Source organism: Homo sapiens, chromosome 6 (assembly GCF_000001405.40).
Source record: "Homo sapiens chromosome 6, GRCh38.p14 Primary Assembly".
Taxonomy (NCBI): domain Eukaryota; kingdom Metazoa; phylum Chordata; class Mammalia; order Primates; family Hominidae; genus Homo; species Homo sapiens.
Window position 1 is genome coordinate 34,799,950 of NC_000006.12, and position 24,849 is coordinate 34,824,798.

A 24,849-nucleotide genomic window follows, 5' to 3' on the forward strand; every position below is an offset into this window, starting at 1 on the left:
ATGTCTAATTCTTTAGACATTTAGATATTTGGAAATCACATTTCTTAGTCTTTCAGTACAGAGAGGTTGAGATTAATGCTTTTGCATTGATGCTTGAGGAGAAAACCAAAGTTGTTCCTATTTATCTTTTTTTTTTTCATATCAAGGCATACCTCAAGGAGGAAACTTTGACCTCAGCATAGCTGAAATAGCTGAAATTTGTATCTTGGGTTAGGCCTTTAGAGGATTTACTTATACAGCGTCTAAGAAGATAACATATACTTTATTAGGGTGAAAAATTAGAGGTCATTTAGGTACCCTTACTTAATACAGAACCTGGTTGAATAATCTGGGTATGGCATTAATCACGGAAAAGAAAGCTCAGTTCTCTATACCCACTGTAATGTGTCCTCCAAAACAGCAGGGATTGTGTGTCTTGGTTGCTTTGAAATCGGAGAGTTTGAGGATGCGTTGAGTGGGTAAATTGGGAGAAGATATATGTAGTGAGAATGCATGGTTGGAATTCAGAACTCAGAGAACCTTAGACTTGGGGAGTAATGGGGGTTGTAGGGAGGGGAGGACAAGGAAATCCAGTTCATCCCGTATCTTTAAGGGGCCTTTTAACTCTGTGTGGTGATGGCAAGTATTTGCTACTGGTTGTGAACACAGATATTAAAGTACCGGTGCTGAATACAGATAAATATTGGAAAAGAACATTTCCCAGTATCTAGAACCAGTAGAATCAATCAGTATCTATAGTAAAGCAGAAAACTAAAGTGTAAAATAATAATATATCTTAGTAAAAGGGTATGTAGTTGGTATCTGTTTGTCACAAAAATAAGATATATTTATATAGTGGTGTGATCTCGGCTCACTGCCACCTCCGCCTCCCAGGTGCAAGCGATTTTCATGCCTCAGCCTCTTAAGTAGCTGGGTTTACAGGCACATGCCACCGTGCCTGGCTAATTTTTTGTATTTTTAGTAGAGATGGGGTTTCACCATGTTGGCCAGGCTGGTCTCAAACTCCTGGCCTCAAGTAATCCACCTACCTGAGCCTCCCAAAGTGTTGGGATTACAGGCGTGAGATTACAGCCACCGCATCTGGCTAGGCCTAGATATATTATAAAATATTTGTTGAATTGACTGTTGTTTCATTTGCCTACACAGCAATCTTTTTACATGTATGCTTGGTCTTTAGAGTGCATTGGTTGTATGTAGCTTGGATTCCAGCCTATCATTTTAAAAAATTGTGGAGGACATTGATGGCAATCAATGTATTTAAGTCAGACTTAATAGAAGCACTGTGTTACTGTGTTCCCAACAGTTATTTCTAAGTTTGAAATTTGGAGTGTGTAGTCCAATAGAAATAGTGACGTAATGTTGAATAGTTCCCTATGTTAGCCTGCAAAAGCCACATAAACTTACTATATTAAGTTCTGGGTCTTGGTTGTTAGGGAACTATATTTGAAGGAGCTGGGGAGAGGGGGGAAAAGTATTTTTTTTCCTATTCCTTGGAGTAAGTTCCTTTAGATCATTGTATCTCACCAAGGACTGTTTTTGGTTGTCACAGTGACTGAGGGGCATGACTAGCGTTTGGTGAATGGGGGGCCGTGTCCTGCAGTACATGGAATAATCTCACATAAAGAAGCATTGTCCCTTGTCCTTTTTGACTTTTGAATGTCGTTAGATGTTTATGTAGCTGAATCCACTGTATAGATTAAATGAGCTTAGACTCTATTTTACATAAAAGCACAAAATATCGCACAGCTTTATTTTATTTATTTATTTATTTATTTATTTATTTATTTTTTGAGACGGAGTCTCGCTCTGTCTCCCAGGCTGGAGTGCAGTGGCGCCATCTCCGCTCACTGCAAGCTCTGGCTCACTGCAAGCTCCGCCTCCCGGTTCACGCCATTCTCCTGCCTCAGTCTCCGGAGTAGCTGGGACTACAGGCGCCCGCCGCCACACCTGGCTAGTTTTTTGTATTTTTAGTAGAGACGGAGTTTCATCGTGTTAGCCAGGATGGTCTCGATCTCCTGACCTCATGATCCACCCACCTCGGCCTCCCCAAGTGCTGGGATTACAGGCGTGAGCCACCATGCCTGGCCTGCACAGCTTTAAACTATAGTGAATATTTTAGGAAACTGCCATGAGGGAAGATCGTTTTGAACTTTACCAAGAATTTGTCACCGTTTTGGAAAATGCTGTTACTCTTGGTATTGGAATCACCAATATGATAAAGTTGTATATGCCTGCATTTTTATTATTTATTATTTATTTATTTGTTTATTTTTGAGATGGAGTTTTGCTCTTGTTGCCACGGCTGGAGTGCAACGGTGCGATCGTAGCTCACTGCAACCTCTGCCTCCCGGGGTTCAAGCAATTCTCCTGCCTCAGCCTCCTGAGTAGCTGGGATTACAGGTGCCCACCACCAAGCCCGGCTAATTTTTTTTTTTTTTGAGACGGAGTCTTGCCATGTTGCCCAGGCTGGAGTGTAATGGTGCGATCTCGGCTCACTGAAACCTCTGCCTCCCGGGTTCAAGCGATTCTCCCGCCTCAGCCTCCCAAGTAGCTGGGATTACAGGCACCCACCACCATGCTCAGCTTATTTTTGTAGAGATGGGGTTTCACCATGTTGGCCAGGCTGGTCTTGAACTCCTGACCTCAGGTGATCCGCCTGCCTCGGCCTCCCAAAGTACTGGGATTACAGGTGTGAGCCACCCTGCCCAGCCTGTCTGCATTTTTAGTAGTCCAAATCCTGGTGATTCCACGTTTGCATGCAAACATCTGACAACTTTGTCTTCTGGTGCAGTGGTGTTGGAGCACTTAACATGTTGAAATACAAATGATTTTATTGTAAATTATTTTCCTTTTATATTATACTTTGGACATTGTATTTTACTTTTTTTGAAATCATGTGCGTAAGTAAGTAGGTTATATTATATGTAAAAAAAATCACTTGAGAGGCTGGGCGCAGTGGCTTACACCTATAATCCTAGCCCTTTGGGAGGCTAAGGTGGACAGATCGCTTGAGCTCAGGAGTTCCAGGCCACCCTGGGCAACATGGTGAAACCCGTCTCTACAAAAAATACAAAAATTAGCTGGGTGTGGGGCATGGTGGCGTGTGTTTGTCGTAGTCCCAGCTACTTGGGGGGCTGAGGTGGGAGGATTGCTTGAGCCGGGAGGTCAAGGTTGCAGTGAGCTGTGATCGCGCCACTGCACTCCAGCCTGAGCAACAGAGCAAGACCCTGTATCAAAAAATAAAAAATAATGATTTTAGTAACTAAGAGAGGCATTGTAAAGTTAAAAAAAAAAAAGGAATTGAGTTGAGTCTGTTAGGGTTGAAAACTGGTGACTTAGTATGAAATTTCTTTTGTATGAAATTTTGAAACAGCTAAAGTTTGCTCTTGTACACTCTTTTTCCCTACTATATGTCTCTTACTCACCTCTGGAGGTCTCTCTTCTCATGCCCCCAGTTGCTCTGATTTTGCCCTCAGTGCTTTGCTACTGTACCCCCAACCTGCTCAGGTCTGCATGCTCAGTTTCCCTTACTCTTTTTTTTACCAGAATCCTCAAATCTTTAGGATATAAGATTTCAGCTAAGTCAAGAGGAAAAGTAGAGAACATATTTTGGAGCAGGAATGCCACCAAATAAATAACCAGATCTAATTCAGAATATGTCCTACTAGGTCTGCTCTCCTAAGCTACCCTTACTTTCACAGCTTCTGAATCCACAGATACTCCAAAAGTTCCCAGTTTGTTTTTGTTTTTCCAAAATGATTTCTGTGGCATTGGGGACAGGACATGGGTGTGGGGAGCGTGGTATGTATCAGTCATTTGAAAGTTGAAGAGTTCTAATATGTAGAAAATCCGAGTAAGGAGGGAATACTAGTTAATCCAAGCTGACTGCTTCTGGTCATCTGTCTCGGTGCTTTCCTAGGCAATGCTGAAAACTTTATTTTTCCTTCTCAGATAAACCTGTTTTTCTTTTTCTTTCTTTTTTAAATCTTTCTTTAAACTTGGATGAAAGAAGGGGCTGCAGTTGAGGAACACATTTCATTTGAGAAAGTGTCTTCACAGCGGCTGATACGAAATTAGAGGCCTGGCAGTATATAGTAGTATGTGTATCCTTTTGCTGAGCCTCAGTAAATCCCCACACTGTCTTCCTTTCAGGCAGGCTCTGGCTCTTTAGTCCTCTGAGCCCAGGTGAGCTTCCTAGCGTCTTTAAGGAAGGTTTGCTGCAGTAATATTGGATACACATCTGTAGGTAGTGTCTTAGCTCTTCCTGGATGTCTGGGCTGGAGAGTTCAGGTAGTCTATCCTTTTTGTCAGCTGGACCCAGACCCTGAGCTACCTTTGGGGACTCTGTTTTTGAGACTATTTATTCATTAATTATTTAGGCAAACTTTATTGCCCATCTGCCATTGGTTGCCAAGCAGTAGGAACTCAAAGACAAATGAGACAAGGTTTCTCTTTAAGGACCTAACTGCCAGTAGGTCTGTAAGCAGAAAGCCCAGTAATGCATTAAGAAGTATCTGCAGAGCTGGGGGGTTGGAGTGGGGAGTGGCACAGATGGGAAGAAAGGTGATGCCAGGCAGAGGGAGCCGCATGAACAATGATACTGAGAAGCAGCAGGGTGCATTTAGGAGATTGCCTATGGTTCTGTATCACTTGAATGTAGGGTTTGAGGGTGGAACACAGCTAGAAATGATATTGGAAAGACAGAAGCTAGATCATGGAGGCCTTTTGTACTATACCAAGACATCTAGATAGGGCTCAGCTTGTTCCCTGCTGCCTTCAGTTGCTACTGCCTTTGATCTGAGGCAACTGAAACATCTCCAAACCTCTACACCTGTGTTGACTTTTTTAAAAGTCAGGGAGATTGTATGGTTTAGTTAAGGTTGCAGGTTCTTGAGCCAGACTGCCAGATTTTGAATCTTAGCTCTGTTGATTACTAGCTCTATGACCTGGGCAAGTTATTTGACCTTTCTATGCCTCAGTTTTCTCATATATAAAGTGGCGATAATAGTAATCTTTTACATCATGAGGTCATTGAGATAAATAAATTAATTTAAAATGTATAGGCCGGGCACAGTGGCTCACACCTGTAATCCTAGCACTTTGGGAGCCCAAGGTGGGTGGATGGGTTGAGCTCGGAAGTTCCAGACCAGCCTGGGTAGCATAGCAAGACTCCAATTCTACAAAAAATAAAAAAATTAGCTGGGCATCGTGGCACACACCTGTAGTCCCAGCTACTTGGGAGGATCACCTTAGCCTGAGAGGTCGAGGCTTCAGTGAACCGTGACTGTGCCACTACACTTCAGCCTGGGCGACAGAGTGAGATCATGACTCAAAAAAAAAATAGTTAAATATAAGCTGGATGGCTGGGCGTGGTAGCTCACACCTGTAATCCTAGCACCTTGGGAGGCTGAGGCAAGCAGATCACTTGAAGTCAGGAGTTTGAGACAAGCCTGGCCAACATGGCAAAACCCCATCTGTACTAAAAATACAAACATTAGCCAGGCATGGTGGTTCATGCCTGTAATCCTAGCTACTTGGGAGGCTGAGGCAGGAGAATCACTTGAACCTGGGAGGCGGAGGTTGCAGTGAGCCTAGATAGTGCCATTGCACCCCAGGCTGGGCAGCAGAAGGCGACTTGGTCTCAAAAAAAAAAAAAAAAAAAGATAAGCTGGGTGTGGTGGTGCATGCCTGTATTCTCAGCTTCTCAGGAGGCTGAGGCAGAAGGATTGCTTGAGCCTGCCCAGGAGTTCAAGACCAGCCTGGGTGATATAGCAAGACCCTATCTCAAAAAAAAAAAAAAAAAAAAAAAAAGTATAAAGTGCTTAGAGCAGTACCTGGAATAAAGTAAGCAATTATTAAATGTTAGCTATTATTTTAAAAATAATTTTATTCTCAGAGCAATAGCATCCTTTTCCATTTTTCCTGGATATTAATTTTATTATAAAAGCTTGTAGACTGGGCTTTTAAAAGGTATTTATTTCTCTGTCTCCTTTTTAAGCACTTTGCACACCTAATTCTCTCTAATGGGAAGAGTGTGCCTTCTACCTCAACCTCACAAAGAAATTTATTTTCATATTTACAGATGATAGTCTTAAACCTGGTTTAACAAGTCTGATTAATCAGACATATTAGAGTTGATTTGCAATGTGTAGAAGAATGTAGATGGATTGTTGGATAGCTCATTCCACCTATTTGGCAATTATCATTTATTTGCTTTGTATTGTTATCAAGTCATTAAGCATTAATTGAGCATCCTTTTCCTAGACTTTATGTTTGACGTAGACTAAATGTCCCAGTTCTTGCTCTTAAGGATCTCATAGTCCTTAGGGTTAGAGACCTTTGTTTTTATTTTAAATTCTTATTTGTATCCTCCACAGCTCTTTTGTATGGTTTGAGCCCATTAACCCTAGCCAGTTGAATGTGCTGCTCTCTTAGGTACGTGTTCGTGCAGTCATTTGCCCAGGTGAAACAACTCAGATGTCTGACAGGGCTTTTCTTTCACCACCATTGGTAAAAGAGAGCTCATTTTGCACAGTCTTTGCCTCTTAACCTAAGCGTACATGTTGGTCAAAGTTAGGGTCAGTTCTGCTCAGAAACTAACGACAGCCTTACTGTATGAATTTTCTTATCCTCAGTTTCTTCCTTGGGCAGTTTTCAAAGATATATGCTACACTTCTCTAAATAGCTCTTTGAGGCAGTAACATGGATAACCTATTCTCCCCCCCTCCCCAAGATGGAGTTTTGCTCTGTTACCCAGGCTGGAGTGCAGTGGCGCAATCTTAGCTCACTGCAACCTCCTCCTCCTGGATCAAGCGATTCTTCTGCCTCAGCTTTCTGAGTAGCTGGATTACAGGCTCCTGCCACCACGCCCGGCTAATTTTTGTACTTTTAGCAGAGACAGGGTTTCACCTTGTTGGCCAGGTTGGTTTCGAACTCCTGACCTCAAGTGATCCACCTGCCTCGGCCTCCCAAAGTGCTGAGATTACAGGCATGACCCATTGCACCCAGCAGATAACCTATTCTTATCCAATAGTGAATAACAAGCAATGCCTGTTAGTGGAATAGGCCTTCCTTTTCTGAGCATTAGCAAGTACATTTTCACTTTAGGTAATCTAGAGCCTGCATGTAGGTTTTAACACTAGGAATCTAATATTTAGAGTTTATCAATTATTGTCCTAGATGTAAGTTTGGGAATGGTCAAGAAGCGGAAGTAAAGGAAATTAAGGGAACTGTGTTAGGATGACAAGAACTGTTCCTAACAAAGTGAGACATGCCAATACATGAGTCATGAGGTATAGTATCTTCAGGACTAGTGTAGGGAAAGAATTTGGGCCCTAACCACCGTGGGAGCTGAATGGTCAAATGAAAGCGGGTAGAGGGTTGCTATCCCTGAGATAGAGTCACTGAGGAGCTCTAAGTTCTAATTCTAGAATGATTACAGGTGTGAGCCACTGCGCCTGGCCTGAAGATATTCACTTCTAGGAAAGAAGACTGGCTCAAGCCAAACAGATTATTAGGGCTTCAGCTAAACAGGCTGGGTTTTAGCAAGTCTTTGTGCTTAGAGGAGGGAATTAGAATGTTCAGCAAGGCTACTGTTGCGAATTAAGAAAAGAGAACCTCTGGGGAATCCTTGTTCTTTCAACTGGCCCAGTATTGGAATGGCAGTAAATGAGAGTGCTGCAAGTCATGGGCTAGACAGCTACCGTGGGTCTGGGAAATGTATGCAGTGAGTTAGATTTGTTGACAGTGTAAATCCATATCATGTCTATGAAAGAAATATGGGAATATCTGTCAAAATAGAAAATGTAGGCTGGGTGCGGTGGCTCACGCCTCTAATCCCAGCACTTTGGGAGGCCGAGGTGGACGGATCATTTGAGGTCAGGAGTTCGAGATCAGCCTGGCCAACATGTTGAAACCCCATCTCTACTAAAAATACAAAAAATTAGCTGGGTGTGGTGATGGGCACCTGTAATCTCAGCTACTCAGGAAGCTGAGGTAGGAGAATCGCTTGAACCGGGAGGCAGTGGTTGCAGTGAGCTGAGATGACACCACTGCATTCCAGCCTGGGCAACAGAGTGAGACTCTGTCTAATAATAAGAATAGAAATCAGTGGGCCAGGCGCGGTGGCTCATGACTGTAATCCCAGTACTTTGGGAGGCCGAGGCGGGTGGATCACCTGAGGTCAGAAGTGCGAGACCAGCCTGACCAACATGGTGAAACTTCATCTCTACTGAAAATACCAAATTAGCTGGGCGTGGTGGCGGGCACCTGTAATCCTAGCTACTCTGGAGGAGGCTGAGGCAAGAGAATCCCTTGAATCTGGGAGGCGGAGGTTGCAGTGAGTCGAGATCGCTCCGTTGCACTCCAGCCTGGGCAACAAGAGTGAAACTCCGTCTCAAAAAAAAAAAAAAAAAAAAAAAAGAATAGAAATCAGTGAAATTAAAAGCAGGGCAAACAGAGAATTAATATAATCAAAAATTGTTTTGTTTCTGGAAAAGATTAATGGATTTAGTTCACCTTTAGCAAGACTGATCAAGGAAAAAAGAGAAAACATAAATATTGTCAGCGGTGAAAGAGGGGTTATCATTATAGATCGTACAGATGTTAAAAAGATGTTAAGGGATATTATGAACACCTTTTTTTTTTTCTGTTGAGACAGGATCTCACTCTGTTGCCCAGGCTGGAGTGCAGTGACACAGTCACGGCTCACTGCAGCCTCAACCCCCTGGGGTCAAGGGATCCTCCCACCTCAGCCTCCCCAGTAGCTGGGACTACAGGTGCATGCCACCATGCCTAATTTTTTTATTTTTTGTAGAGACAGGGTTTCATCATGTTGCCCAGACTGGTCTCAAACTCCTGGACTCAAGCCATCCTGCCTTAGCCTCCTAAAGTGTTAGGATTACAGGTGTAAGCCACTGCACCTAGCCTGAACATCTTTTTGTCAATAAATTCAATAGCTTAAGTGAAATGCACAAAATTATTTGAATAAAGGCTCATATAGTTTCATTGGTGATTTCTTTTAAACATTTAAGAAATACTTAATACCCATTTTACAGAAATTATTTTAGGAAATAAATACTTCCAAACTTGTTTAATAAATTCAGTATGACCTTGATAAGAAAAACATGACAAAGATGTTATAAGGAAAGAAAACTTCAGACCGCCAGGTTTGGTGGTTCAGCCATGTATTTCCAGCACTTTGGAAGGCTGAAGTGGGAGGATCATTTGAGCCCAGGAGTTTGAGACCAGCTTGGGCAACATGGCAAAACCCTGTCTCTACAAAAAATTGAAAAATTAGTTGGGCGTGGTGGTGCATGCCACTAGTCTCAACTACTCAGGAGGCTGAGGCAGGAGGATTGATTGAGCCCAGGAGGTTGAGGCTGCAGTGAGCAGCAGTTGCACCACTGCACTCCAGCCTGAGCTACAGAGCAAGACTCTGTCTCAAAAACAAAAACTTCAGATCAATATTCATTGTGAACAAAGATTAATAAGTTCTTAATAAAAGACAGTTGACCCTTGAACAGTAGTGGAATTTAGGGGTACCAGTCCCCATGCATAGTTGAAAATCCATGTATAACTTTTGACTCCCCAAAAACGTTTTTTGTTTTTTTGTTCGTTTGTTTGTTTGTTTTTTGAGACAGGGTCTTGCTCTGTTGCCCAGACTGGAGTGCAGTGCTGTGATCTCAGCTCACTGCGACCTCTGCCTCCCGGGTTCAAGCGATTCTCCTGCCTCAGCCTCTGAGTACTGGAGTGTGCCACCATGCCCGGCTAATTTTTTGTATTTTTAGTAGGGACGGGGTTTCATCGTGTTGGCCAAGGTGGTCTCGAACTCCTGGCCTCATGTGATCCACCTGCCTTGGCCTCCCAAATTGCTGGGATTGTAGACATGAGCCACTGTGCCTGGCCTAAAAACTTACTACTAATAGTTTACTGTTCACTGGAAGCCTCACTGATAACAAACAGTTGATTGACACATATTTTGTATATGTATTATATATTGTATTCTTACAATAAAGTAAGCCAGAGAAAAGAAAACATTATTCAGAAAATCATAAGGAAGATAAATACATTTACAGTTTTTCTGTACTAAATCTATGCATGCCACAAGTTTACATCATCTGTTTACAAGATGAATCAGGTTTCTGAAGTGGCGGATACCGGGAGCTGCAGATCTCAATCTATAGGAAATATCAAACTATTAAACTTTTCCTTACAATGTCATGACTTTTCTCTGCTTCTTGGGAGCATTTCCAGCATCATTAGTGGCACATTGTGTGGGTCCCATGGTGTTATTCAGGGTTTACAGTATTGCACTAAGCATCATGAATAGTACACAAGAAACACAAGAGACCACTTTTTTACTGCAATATGCAATTTATTGGAGAGATGAACTGCTCTTGCTGAGATGACATGATTCACATCATACAACGTTTTAAGCAGATCCTCATAACACGTGAGCTTACTGCAGTATTAGATAGCTACAACATTATCACAGCAGTATAGCGTGTACTACAGTTAATTTTATGCAGTTATGATTATTTAGTAGTTACTTGAGACAGGGTCTCGCTGTGTCACCCAGGCTGGATTGCATTCCATGATCATCGCTCATTGCAACCTTTACTGATACTCCCACCTCAGCCTACTGAGTAGCTGGGACCACAGGCGTGTGCCACCATGCCCAGCTAATTATTTTGTTTTTTTGTAGAGATGGGTCTCACTATGTTGCCCAGGCTGGTCTCAAACTCCTGGGCTCAAGCATTCCTCCTGCCTCGACCTCTCAAAGTGCTGTGAGTACAGGTGTGAGCCATTGTGCCTGGCCAGTTATCATTTAGTACTGCATCTTTATATTTGTTTACATTTCTCCTGACTGCAAATGGTGTCATGTATAGTCTGTAAGTATTTTTGCACTTAAGTTTCGATAAATTTCAACTTTTTATAATAGATTAGTATAAACTTTAGGATAGTAAATGATAGACTAGTATCTACATATATTTTATGCATTCATGACATACCTAACCTTTTCTTAATTTAAAAAATATTTCTAGGCTATCAGGTTTGTCTGCAAGTTTTTTCAAGTTGTCACAAATCTCCAAAAATTTTTCCACACTTTTATCGAATTTATCAAAACTTAGACACACAAACATAGACTGTGCGTGGTGACATTGGCAGTCTAGAGAAATGCAAATAAACATTCAATGTGTGTTATGTTCAGGGACGGGCTGACTCATTATTGTTGATATGTGAGGTCTCCCTAAATTGAGCTAAGATTCACTGTAATCCCAATCAGTTTCAGCAGATTTTTTTAAAAACAGAAATAGGCAGGCTGATTTGAAAATCTATATGGAAATGAAAAAGACCTAGAATGGTCAGAATAATCTGAACAAATGAACACAAAGGATTTTTTAATGCCTAAAATGAAGCTGCAGTATTAAAGACAGTGTGGTATTGGCATAAGTATATATAGGTCAGATGAACAAAATAGAAAGTTCAGACATGAGTCATAGCCACGTGCGATGGCTCACACCTGTAATCTCAACACTTTGTGAGGCTGAAATGGGAGGATCTCCTGAGTCCAGGAGTTCAGCCATGGCAATATATTGAGACTATCTCTACAAAAGTGTTTAAAAAAAGGCCAGGCACCTGTAATCCCAGCACTTTGGGAGGCTGAGGTGGGTGGATAACTTGAGGTCAGGAGTTCGAGACCAGCCTGGCTAACATGGTGAGACCCCCCCCCCCGCATCTCTACTAAAAATACAAAAATTTGCCGGGCATGGTGATGCAGGCCTGTAATCCTGCCCACTCGGGAGGCTGAGGCAGGACAATCGCTTGAACCCAGGAGGTGGTTTGTAGTGAGCCGAGATCGTGCCACTGTACTCCAGCCTGGGCAACAGAGTGAGACTTCGTCTCAAAAACAAATGAACAAACAAAAACTTAGTTGGGTGTAGTGGAGTGCACCTGTAGTCCTAGCTCCTTGGGAGGCTGAGGGAGGATCACTTGAGCTCAGGAGGTTGAGGTTACAGAGAGCTATGATTGTGCCAGTGTACTCCAGCTTCGGTAACAGTGAGACTCTAGCTCTTAAAAAAAGAAAAAAGAGTTAAGCCAGGCACAGTGGCTCATGCCTGTAATTCCAGCACTTTGGGAGTCCAAGGTGGGAGGATCACCTGAGGTCAGGAGTTCAAGACCAGCCTGGCCAACATGGTGAAACCCCATGTCTACTAAAAATACAAAATTAGCCAGGCATGGTGGCGGGTGCCTGTAATCCCAACTACTCGGGAGGCTGAGGCAGGGAGAGTTGCTTGAACCCAGGAGGTGGAGGTTGCAGTAAGCTGAGATTGAGCCACTGCACTCTAGCCTGGGCAACAGAGCGAAACTCCGTCTTAAAAAAAAAAAAAAGACGAGATGAGCCACTGTATGGAAATTGCACCTTAAATAACACAACAGTTAAAAAACCCAACATTGTAAACAACAAACAAAAATTTAGAAGGAAAGAAGGTTCTCCTAAGAAAAGCATGTAATATTGTCATGCAGTTTTCTTTTTAGAGATAAGGTCTCACTCTGTTGCTCAGGCTGGAGTGTAGAGGCACCATCGTAGCCCACTGCACCCTCAAAGGATCAAGGGATCCTCCCACCCCAGCTCTTGAGTAGCTGGGACTACAGGCATGAGCCACTGCATCCAGCTAATTAATTTTTTTTTTTTTTTCATAGAGACAGGGTCTCGCTTTGTTGTCCAGGCTGGTCTTGAACTCTTGGCTTCAAGCAGTTCCAAAGTGCTGGGACTATAGGTGTGAGCCACTGCACCTGACCAATGAAGAAGTTTTGAGAGTAAAACCTATTAGGACAAACCTCTAAGATTGAATGGCTTATTATATCAGATTATCTGGGATGAAATGGCATTAGCTATATTAGTGATTGATATGTTTTGTTTGGATGATGGAGAGAATCCTGCTATCTAAACCAACTGCTTCAGTGTTGTGTTATATCTTTGTTTAAAGAGAAGCCTGTGGTGTGGCTTAGTAGTGAAAATATTTTGCTGTAGATTTGGGTAGGAAGCTTAGAAGCCAAGGCTCTGGCTGTGATCACCTCCTCAATGGAAAAAATGGTGAAGGAAGCAAAGTGTATTTGTGGACCTTTTTATTTCTCCCAGGAGGGTTCAATTTCTATGAGAGCTGAAGTCGACTGACTGTTGCAACTTATTGACCCTATTATTCCCAATAAAGATGCTGAATTACAGAGGGCATGGTGTTGTCAGAGTTGAATGAATGCTGGGTTAAGTCCCATTTCTGTTATTTACTTAGTTCCAGCTTTACCACTGGCAAGCTGTGAGTCTTGGGCAAGTCATTAAGCTTTTTGGCCATTTGTTTCCTCATTGGCAAATGTAGATTTGGACTAAACAATTATTTAAGATTCCTTCTAGCTCTGAAATTCTGCGAATTTGCAAATCTAAGAATTTTCACTTCCAAACATTGTGATACATTTTCACAAAGATGAGAGCCTTTCCCTGTCGTCTCTTTGGCACATTGCAATCCTCTGGCAGAAATGAAACTTGATCAAAATCTGTTTTTCCAACCTGATTTCATCTTAGCTTTTACACTCTGTAACAGTAACAGATGGCCAGAAAATGTTTTCCCACATACTTGAAGTGGAATAAATAGCAGGCTGCCATTAGCCTTTTTAGCTGCCCTTGGACTCTGAATGATATTATCCTCAATTAGGAACACAAATGCTTTTTTTCTGCCAGGGACTGTGGGGTATAGAAAGAGAAGTATACAACATAATTCTTCTCAAGAATTCAATATCTGGTTGCAGTTTGTGAATTTTAGACTGGCTATTGAAGATGACTTGGAATAGTTGGTTTTATCATCACGTTGCTGCAGTTTAACCCAGTTGTATTCCATTATAGGCAGAGAGTTTGAGCTATTTTCCCTCTCCAGGTGATGAGAGAGCTGAAACTTGGGCCTCTTATATAATTCTCAGAGCTGTAGTTTCCTTGGCTGAGCAAACCTCCCCAAACCTCCCCAACCCTCCCCAACAACAGTCAGGCCCATGGAACATCTTTTATTTTTATTTTTATTACTTTTATTTTTTGAGACAGAGTCTCGCTATGTCGCCCAGGCTGGAGTGCAGTGGGACAATCTCAGCTCACTGCAACCTCCACCTCCTGGGTTCAAGCAATTCTTGTGCCTCAACTTCCCAAGTAGCTGGGATTACAGGTGTGCCACCATGCCCAACTAGTCTTTGTATTTTTAGTAGAGATGAGGTTTCACCATGTTGCCCAGGCTGGTCTCAAACTCCTAGGCTCAAACAATCCACCTGCCTTGGCCTCCCAAACTACTGGGATTAACAGGCATGAGCCACTGTGCCCGACCATCTTTTATTTTTTTTAACCTATTCTTTGTTATTGCTCTAAAATGCAGGCAAAATCAGTTAAAGAATTCTTACTGCCTTTTTTGAGAAGCTTGAATAAGGCAGTATCCATTTTTTGTTGACTCCTAAAAGTAAACTGAAAAGTGAAAAAGCGTATATATGTTATATCATTATTACAGTCACAGGAGGACCGCTCATGGTGGTCCAGCAGACGTGCATGCACCATCAGCAGTCCTTCGAGTGCTTGAAGAACTCTTGGTTGTTTAGTGCTGTTCAGCTTTTGGTGATTACTTGCTTGTATTGTTAATCTTAGACCTGATGGCACAGTATCCTCTGTGGTCTCTTGTTAGCATGTTGCTAGAGACTGGGTGTCCCTGCTGGAATGGTGGAAAATTAGCCCTGGGCATGCTTAAGAAAAAATTTATTAATCTGGTTGAGTTGGTGAAGTGCAGAAAGGTTTTTGATGGAGTTACACTATTAACTTTAACAAAAAAGTTTAGATGTATTCCCCTTAACACAGGTTAAGCACACCATGGTAGATTATAAAAAGCAAAAGAATGTCCTCCAACCACTTCTGAGATACCTTATAAATTTATTCTGTGCCAGGTGTGTTTTGGGGGAACTTATAATATTAAAATGTTAGTAGAAGTAAACACCAGTGAGCACACCTGGGTTCATACTGCCTCTTCTTGCCCTGTCATCTAGGGCAAACTGCTTCATATCCGAACCTCATGCTCTTCCTCTGAGCAATGGGGATAATAATGCATACCTCATGTGGGATATTGCAAAGATTAATTCAGATGTTATGAAGACCCTTCGTTCAGTGCCTGGTGCAAAGTAAAATGTCATTATTATTTGTAGTTTGGTTTTGGTGGCTCAGGCCAGAGAATAATGCTTTTTCCCGCTTGTGGTGTACAAAATAAGTTGGTGTTTGTTTGTTTGTTTGTTTGTTTTGAGACAGAGTCTTCCTCTGTTGCCCGGGCTGGAGTGTGGTGGTATGATCTCAGCTCATTGCAACCTCTGCCTTCCGGGTTCAAGTGATTCTCCTGCCTCAGCCTCCCTAGTAGCTGGAATTACAGGCATGTGTCACCATGCCTGGCTAATTTTTGTATTTTTAGTACAGATGGAGGTTCTCCATGTTGGCCAGGCTGGTCTTGAACTCCTGACCTCAGGTGATCTGCCTGCTTTGGCTTCCCAAAGTGCTGGGATTATAGGGGTGAGCCACCGTGTCTGGCCAAATTATGTTTTAAAAATGAAATTTTCTTTTAGCTGACAAAAGGATATTGATCTGGTCCAGCCTATGGGGCAAAAATACGTGTAATTATTATTTTGTTATTTGTTTGTTTTGAGACAGAGTCTCACTTTGTTGCCCAGGCTGTAGTGCAGTGGTGCAAACTTGGCTCACTGCAACCTCTGCCTCCCAGGTTCAAGCGATTCTCATGCCTCAGCCTCCCAAGTAGCTGGGATTACAGGCATGCCTCACCATGGCCCGGCTAATTTTTTTGTGATTTTTTAGTACAGATGGGATTTCACCATGTTGGCCAGGCTGGTCTCAAACTCCTGGCCTCAAGTGATCTGTCCGCCTCGGCCTCCCAGTGTTGGGATTACAGGTGTGAGCAACCGTGCCCGGCCTGCATTTTAAAATAAGCATTCCAAAATAATTAAGATCCATGTGATCAGAGGACCATAGTTTGAGATGCATTGCCCTAAAAACTGGCAAGGTTAGGATGAAATGTAATACAATCTGATATACTTTTTTTGTTAAGGCTTGAAAAATACATTTATCTATATGGAACTGTAAATAGAGTTAGATTTTGCAAAGAACACAACGTAGAAATTAGATACTTAGCACTTACTTAGTATAATCACTCAGAGAATGTCAGTGCTAGCTAACAGTATAACTTATTCTTGACTGTGTTTATGTTTTATTTTATCTGAAGTATGTTTCTCTTTTTTCAGAGAAGTCATCAGTTTGAAAACGTCTATCTCACTTTCTTTTCTTTAAAAGTGGCTGGGCACAGTGGCTCACATCTGTAATCCCAGTACTTTGGGAGGCTGAGGTGGGAGGATTGCTTGAGCCGAGCCCAGAAGTTCCAGACCAGCCTGGGTAACAAAGGGAGACCCCATCTCTACAAAAAATAAAAAAAATTAGCTGGGTATAGTGACATGCACTTGTGGTTCTAGCTACTCTGGAGGCTGAGATTGGGAGGGTCACTTGAGCCCCAGGAGGTCGAGGCTGCAGTGAGCCGTGATCACGCCACTACACTCCAGCTTGGATGATAGAGTGAGACTGTCTCAAAAAATAAAATAAAATAAAAATGGCTTTTTATCATATGAAAGAGCAGTTTATCTTAGTGGTTCTCAGCCTTTTCTCCTTACTCCTGCCTATCAGAGGGATCCTTACTTCCATCCTTGACAGTGGCTCACTTCTACAAGAATTCTCAGCTGGGGTAGAAAGGTAACATCTTATCAGAATCTGTGCGGTTGGACAGGAGGAGACATGTAGTTGCAGTCTTCAAAACTCATTCTGCCTGTTAAAACATTCTTATCTTTCTAAGACTAGTAGTACTTCTGAACTATGCCCTGCCCCAATTTCTGAATTGATATGGCTTCCCTGGACCACTTAAGATTAGAGGAAGGGTTGCTAGGACAGTAGAAGGAAATAATTATAATATTTTATTTAAATACATAAGAGACTTGAAAAAGAATTTGCCCGTGCCTAGTGATTACAAATAATGTTGAGTTCTGTTTTCTGCTTTCGCTTCTGTCAGGACTACTGTCTCCTCAGAGTCCTTAGGGGCATGCACTGTCTTCCTTTACTTCCTTTTGTTGTTGTCTTATTAGGAAGTATTTAGATGAGTTTATTTCTCCTTCGTACCTCAGTCCTATTTCCTTGTAGATAGCCATTTGTTTAGGAAAAGGACTGAAGAACCATTTCTTTCCGGAAGAGAAATAATCACCTTCCCTCTGTGGCAAGTTGTTTTCAGAGGAAAAGAACCATTTATTGAAAACTTGTCTTTTTGGTTCAGAGAATAAAGTTAGTTCATACTCAGTAAATGTAGATTAAATTTTTTAAAGTGAATTAAAATCAGTAAAAGTATGTGTAAGGGCCTGGGATTTTATTTTACCCTATTTAGAAGCTAATTATTAACTCCTACTGTTTCATGGATGCTGGGGGAACACACAAGACTTCTGGATCAGAGACAAAGGACTTTATTACTCACAGCCTGTTTTTCATGGCCCAGCAAGCAGCATAAGTATAATGTTTATGTCAATTTTCCTTGCCTCCAGAGTCCTGTGGGAGTGACATGAATGGGCCCAGATGGATGCCTGCATATGTGTTATAGGAATAGAACACTGAGCTTGGGGAATCCATTGCTTTTATAGTAAATGGTAAGCAGGCCTGTTCTTTGTCCTAGTGGGAGAGATTATTTCATTACTGAAAGCTGTCCTCTGTAACCACAATCCTGAGAAGAGGCCTGAGTAAGAAGTGGTTAGGACCATGCATTCTTGAAAGGCCCAGCAAGACGTGTAGGAATTTTTTTTTTTTTTTTTGGGGGGGTGGAGTCTCGCTCTGTCGCCCAGGCTGGAGTGCAATGGCGCTATCTGGGCTCACTGCAAGCTCCGCCTCCCGGGTTCACGCCATTCTCCTGCCTCAGCTTCCCGATTAGCTGGGACTACAGTCATGCGCCACCACGACCGGCTAATTTTTTTTTTTGTATTTTTAGTAGAGACGGGGTTTCACCGTGTTAGCCAGGATGGTCTCGATCTCCTGACCTCGTGATCCGCCCGCCTTGGCCTCCCAAAGTGCTGGGATTACAGGCGTGAGCCACCGCGCCCGGCCAGATGTGTAGGATTAAGAGAGACCCATGAGGCCGGGTACAATGGCTCACATCTGTAATGCCAGCACATTGGTAGGCCGAGGCAGGTGGATTGCTTCAACCCAGGAGTTTGAGACCAGCCTGGGCAACATGGCAAAACCCTGTCTCTACAAAAAATATAAAAATTAGCCAAGCATAGTGATGTGTGCCTGTAGTCCCAGCTACTAGGGAGTTTGAGGTGGGAGAATAGCTTGAGGCCAGGAGGTTGAGGCTGCAGTGAGCCATGATGGTACCACTGCACTCCAGCCTGGGTGACAGGGTGAGATCCTGTCTCAGAAAAAAAAAAGAAAAAAACGAGACTCAATGGAGGAATAGCATTCCCAACACTAAGTACGTAAATAGATAATTGATAGAAATCTTAGAAAAATTTGTTACAAAATATTTGCTGTACAAAAGGTATGGAGTAGCGTAATGAAAAGCCATACAGTCACCTCTCAACTTGAGAAATAAGCGTTATCCATACAGTTGAAGCTTCCTGTCGACCCCTCCCCTTACCCCACAGGTAAGCACTTTCCTAAATTTGTCATCATGCCAATGCATTCCTGTGTATCCCTTAATATCATACGGTATTGTTTTGCATGTTCACAAACTTCTAAAAATGATTTTTACTGTCATTTAAAATTTGTTAAAGAGCTGTTTTCATAGTACCTTCTTAAGTACTTTAGAAAAAAATTGCAAAGATAAACTTTTGCACGTCATGATTTTATGGTCCAAGGAAAAGCAAAAACACTAAAACATAGTTTAGTAAAAGGAAAAGATACATATAGTGAAAAAAGTTGGTAAATATATAGATATGTAACTCTAAACTGTTAGCATCTAATATATGTAAAGACTAAGTATAGTTAAGGTTGGTGGACAAAATACCATTCATGATTGGGGTGAAAATAGTGACTATGAGAGGCAGCAGCAGTGAATTACAGGAGTGAGATTAATTTAGACAGTTTTTCTTTTTTTTTTTTTACTTTTTTTTTTATTATACTTTAAGTTTTAGGGTACATGTGCACATTGTGCAGGTTAGTTACATATGTATACATGTGCCATGCTGGTGCGCTGCACCCACTAACTCGTCATCTAGCATTACGTATATCTCCCAGTGCTATCCCTCCCCCCTCCCCCCACCCCACCACAGTCCCCAGAGTGTGATATTCCCCTTCCTGTTTTTCTTACAGGAGAGAGGGTTATGCTATGAGGAACTGGCCTTAAATTGATCCAGCCAAAAAGATGAGAGAAGGGAACTGGGAGTAGTTAGCCAGCAGGGCAGTTAGCTAAGAGATATGTGGGCCAGCATTCTGTTGGGTCATCATTTGGATTAGGAAGAATGGCCAAGACTAAGCCCCTTACCTTGAAGAGCTTAATTTAATTGAGCAGGGGTGGTTATATTATGCATTTGAGAATTAGAGAACATCCTAAGACACTGTCATATGATTATGACCTAAACATGCATTACAGATTCCAGGAATGGAGAATAAAAGAGTGTAATGTGAGTTGCAGCAGTTAGGGGAAGAAGGCCTCAGGGAGAAGTCTCCAGTTCAGCCTTGCATGGCAGATAGTGGTGTGGAGGGAAAGGGAAATGGAGTGGCTGGCGAGAGCACAGCATCGAGGACTGGAGCAGTGAGAAATAGTGAGAGGACTGGCCTGTGTGAATATTTTATTTCAAGACCATTTGACCGATAGAGTTTCCTATGGTCTGGATTTTGCTGATTGCACACTTACAGTGTAGTTCAGCAGTTTTCATCTGTCCTCAGTATTTCCTTCAAATTAGCAACTGGACCCAGTGGCTTGATGAGATTCAAGTTTAGTCTCTTTGGGAAGACTACAGGTGACTGGTTGTTCTTTTTTCATATCAGTAAAGATATGTGTAGGGGTCTGGGATTTCATTTTACCCTACTTTAATAAGCTGATAATTAGCCTGTTACTGTTTCACATTCTTAACTTCATGTAGCTCCCTCTTCTGTTATTTCAAGTAGTGCTAAAAAAAAAAATAACAGCTTGCTTCCTGAGATAATAGGTCTCTGTTCCCCTCCCTTACTTTTATCTAGAACATCTCTTTTCTTCATTTCTCTCATCCCTATCTTGCTCATTTTTAATTCTTTTCTGTGTGGGGGTCCTTTCCTAGGAAGGAGCTTGGGAAGGTTAGTTTCATGAGTTTATAGGGCTAGACTGCTCCAGCTCCTTGGGGTCTCACTACAGATCCCTTGCAGTGGACAGAACCCTCTCCCAGTGTCAGTTACTGTTGTCAAATCAGTCCCCATTGCTTTTCATTTAATAGTTGTTGGTTATCTTGGGGTTCTTCAGTTCTCAGTTGTCAGATGCCCTTTTGCTTCCCTCCACTTTATTCTGGACAGCTGGATAGCACTTATGTCTTGTGGCTGTTGTTTTTTCCCCACCCACTTGTCTATGGGGATTTATGAAGATACTTCATATTCTATTTTGTTTTAAATGTTATTCATGGACTTTCTGTGTTGTTATCTAGTTGCTCTGTCTGGTGTTTGTTTGTTTTTATAATGGGTCTTGCTCTGTCATCTCAGTTTAGAGTACAGTGTCATGATCACGGCTCACTGCAGCCTCAACCTCAGCCTCCTGGGTAGCTGGGACTATAGGCATGCACCACCATGCCTAATTTTTTTTTTTTTTTTTTTTAGAGATAGGGTCTCGCTGTGTTGCCCAGGCTTGTCTCGATCTCCTAGGCTCCAGCGATCCTCCTGCCTAAGCCTCCCAAGGTGCTGGGATTATAGGCGTGAGCCACCACGCCTGGCCCTCTGTCTGTTTTTTTTTTTTTGAGATGGAGTTTTGCTCTTGTTGCCCAGGCTGGAGTGCAATGGCACGATTTCAGCTCACTGCAACCTCCGCCTCCCAGGTTCAAGTGATTCTCCTGCCTCAGCCTCTGGAGGAGCTGGGATTACAGGCATGCGCCACCACACCCGGCTAATTTAGTATTTTTAGTAGAGACGGGGTTTCTCCATGTAGGTCAGGCTGGTCTCGAACTCCCGACCTCAGGTGATCCACCCGCCTTGGCCTCCCGAAGTGCTGGGATTACAGGCGTGAGCCACTGCGCCCGGCTCCCTCTGTCTGTTTTTATGCGAGGGTTCAGAAATACCGAAAGACTACATTGCCATTGCTACAGCTATTGCCCCAGAATCCTCATCGTAGGTTCTTTAGTAGGATGATGACACAATCATAAGTAGAATCATAGGTCTCACCTAACATCTTATATGGTGTAGAGATGGTGTGGTCTGAGTGCATTTGTTCTGGCTGGTCTGAGTGCAGTGTTTACAACTAATTGATCACAACCCCAGTTACAGTTTTCTGTGTTCCTTCACTCCCACTGCTTCACTTGACTAGCCTTAACAAATGTTCTTTAATTTTTTCTTTTCTCTAGATTCAGAAGTGTTTTGGCTGTAATACCCAATTAGCAGATTCCCATGGAAATAATAGCTTCTTATCATTACTCTTTTCAGGTTCACTAAGAATCTTTCCCCAGACAAAATCAACCTGAGCACCCTGAAAGGGGAGGGTCAGCTGACCAACCTGGAGCTGGATGAAGAGGTTCTACAGAATGTACTGGAGCTGCCCACCTGGTTAGCCATCACTCGGGTCTACTGCAACAGGGCCTCCATCCGGGTGAGAATGAGGGTCAGAATGCTGCTGTTCTCTTTGGCCAGTAGGCCTGCTTTCTGGAGGGTCAGCTACCACAGCCCTGAGACTTTGCTTTCCTCTTTCAGATCCAGTGGACAAAGTTGAAGACACACCCTATTTGCTTGGTAATGACCTTTCTTGATTGCAAGTTATCAAATGGGGATGGCCAGGGTAGGCTTTTAGAAGATAAGGGAGAAAATGATAGGCTAACCCTTTTAGGAATGGTGGGTGTCTCCTTATGTCCCTGTGAGCTTCTCTCTGAGACAGTGTGACTGTTGTCTGGGCTTATTCTGGAACTGCTGTATGGTATAGGATTAGCACTGGGACACAAGACCCAGGACTTCTCAGTTGTTTTCTCGGTTTTAGTGTAACAATTATGGCTGCCTAGGCTCTACCCTTAGACTTTTCTATCTTCCCTTGAAATTTTTTTTTTTTTTTTTGAGATGGAGTTTTGCTCTTGTCACTAAGGCTGGAGTGCCATGGCTCACTGCAACCTCTGCCTCCTGGGTTCAAGCAATTCTCCTGCCTCAGCCTCCTAAGTAGCTAGGATTACATGTACCACCATGCCCAGCTAATTTTTATATTTTTAATAGAGACGAGGTTTTGCCACGTTGGCTAGGCTGGTCTCGAACTCCTAACCTCAGGTGATCCACCCGTCTCAGCCTTCGAAAGTGCTGGGGTTACGGGCGTGAGCCACCGCGCCTGGCACTCCTTGAAATCTTGACAGAGGAAAAATTAGAAGTTTGGTTTGGGCCGGGTGCGGTGCTGTAATGCCAGCACTTTGGGAGGCAGAGGTGGGTAGATTACCTGAGGTCAGGAGTTCAAGACCAGCCTGACCAACATGGTGAAACCCCATCTCTACTAAAAATACAAAAAATTAGCCAGGTGTGGTGGCAGGCGCCTGTAATCCCAGCTACTCGGGAGGCTGGGGCAGGAGAATTGCTTGAACCTGGGAGGCAGAGGTTGCAGTGAGCCGAGATCACCCTGCAGCCTGGGTGATAAGAGTAAGACTCTGTTTCGGGAAAAAAAAAAAAAAAGTTTAGTTTGGGTTGACTGTTGGATGATTATCGGTTGAGGGCCCTTCAGAAGCTGGTTGATGTGTATCTTTATCCCAAAAACTGGAATCCCCAGGAAAAATAATATTCCTACAACTTGGATTTGTGTTTTATCTTTTTGCTCTGAGCCCATCCCGTGCTTGTCATGAGGTTCTGCTGCTAATGGAAATGGAAGGGGGAAAATGAGGACTCTCCTTGCATTTTAGTTTGTTCATTCATTCATTCACTCAGTAAATATTTATTGTCTGCCCACAATGGGTATAGCACTTGACTAGGCTCTGGAGCACGGAGATGAATGACACAGTCTGTGCTGTCATTGTGCTGTGTGTGTATTTGTGTAAATGCTTAGTTCTCCTTGACTTCTATTTCAGTGTCTGGATAAGGTAGAGGTGGAGATGAAGACATGTGAGGATCCTCGGCCCCCCAATGGACAGTCTCCCATTGCCCTTGCTTCAGGACAGAGGTTAGTTTCTTTGAACCCTGTTATTTCCAACATATTAATTGCTCCAGATCCCCTTTTAGTTAAAAAATAAAAACTTTTTATTATGGACATTTTCAAACTTACACTAAAGTAAAGAAAATGGTATAAGAACCTCCATATACCCAAGATCTAATTTCAACAATTATCAACACTTTGTCATTCTTCTTCTTCTGTTTTTTTTTTTTTTTTTCCCTGGGATAGGGTCTTGCTCTGTCACCCAGGCTGGAGTGCAGTGGTGTGATCACAGTTCACTGTAGCCTCGACCTCCTGGGCTCAATCAGTCCTTCTACCTCAGCCTCCCAAGTAGCTGGGACCACAGGCGCACATCACCATGCCTGGCTAGTTTTTTGTAGCGATGGTGTCTCACTATGTTGCCCAGGCTGGTCTTGAACTCCTGGCTTTAAGCGATCCTCCCACCTCAGCCTCCCCAAAGCCCTGGGATTACGGATGTGAACCACCATGCCCAACGTTGTCATTCTTTTTTCTTTTTCCTGCCAGTTTGTGTATGTGTATGTATGTGCATGTGGACACTATAGTACTTGAAAGCAAATCTCAGAAACCATATGATTCCGCTTGCAGATACTTTTTTTTTTTGAGATGGGGTCTCACCCTGTCACCCAGCCTGGAGTGCAGTGGTGTGATCTTGGCTCACTGCATCATCTGCCTCCCAGGCTCAAGTGGTTCCCCACCTCAGTCTCCCAAGTAGCTGGGACCACAGGCATGCACCACCATACCTGGCCAATTTTTTGTAGTTTTGGTAGAGACTGTTTCACCATGTTGCCCAGGCTGGTTGTGAACCCACCTGCAAATACTTTCATATCATGTCTTTAACAGACAAGGCCTGGAAAAAAAATATATTGCTATCACATTAAAAAGAATTAACAGGCCAGGCGCGGTGGCTCACGCCTGTAATCCCAGCACTTTGGGAGGCTGAGGTGGGCAGATTACCTGAGGTCAGGAGTTCGAGACCAGCCTGGCTAACATGGTGAAACCCCGTTTCTACTAAAAATAAAAACTCCATTTCTACTAAAAATAAAAAAAATTAGCCGGGCGTGGTGGCGGGCACCTGTAATCCCAGCTGCTCGGGAGGCTGAGGCAAGAGAATCGCTTGAACCCGGAAGGTGGAGATTGCAGTGAGCCGAGATCGCGCCATTGCACTCCAGCTTGGGCAACAAGAATGAAACTCCATCTCAAAAAAAAAAAAAAACCCAAGAATTCCTTAATATCATCTAGTACCTATTTCATAATCAATTTTCCTGGATTATCTCTAAAATATATATATGTATATATGTATTTTTTTCTTTTTTCTTTTTTTTGGTTTTGAGACAGGGTCTCGCTCTGTCACCCAGGCTGGAGTGCAGTGGCACGATCTTGGCTCACTGCAACCTCCATCTCCTGGGTTCAAGTGATTCTTGTGCCTCGGCCTCCTGAG

General features: G+C 42.9%; 1 protein-coding gene across 1 annotated transcript in view, besides 2 other annotated features; it reads left to right on the plus strand.

Moving 5' to 3' along the window:
• The window catches only part of BLTP3A (bridge-like lipid transfer protein family member 3A), an 85,432-nt gene that overhangs the window by 7,867 nt on the left and 52,716 nt on the right, over nt 1-24,849 (plus strand). Inside the window, exons 2-4 of the mRNA NM_017754.4 lie at nt 21,704-21,866; nt 21,968-22,006; nt 23,308-23,399. Of these exons, the coding sequence (NP_060224.3) occupies nt 21,704-21,866; nt 21,968-22,006; nt 23,308-23,399 (294 nt within the window). The remainder of the gene's footprint in view (nt 1-21,703; nt 21,867-21,967; nt 22,007-23,307; nt 23,400-24,849) is intronic.
• Nucleotides 11,360-11,419: an enhancer, noted in NCBI's record as "active region_24391". NCBI's record gives its function as "activates an Ori minimal core promoter by ATAC-STARR-seq in GM12878 lymphoblastoid cells {active_cell/tissue: GM12878}" and the evidence as "EXISTENCE:reporter gene assay evidence [ECO:0000049][PMID:35858748]".
• Nucleotides 11,450-11,499: an enhancer, noted in NCBI's record as "active region_24392". NCBI's record gives its function as "activates an Ori minimal core promoter by ATAC-STARR-seq in GM12878 lymphoblastoid cells {active_cell/tissue: GM12878}" and the evidence as "EXISTENCE:reporter gene assay evidence [ECO:0000049][PMID:35858748]".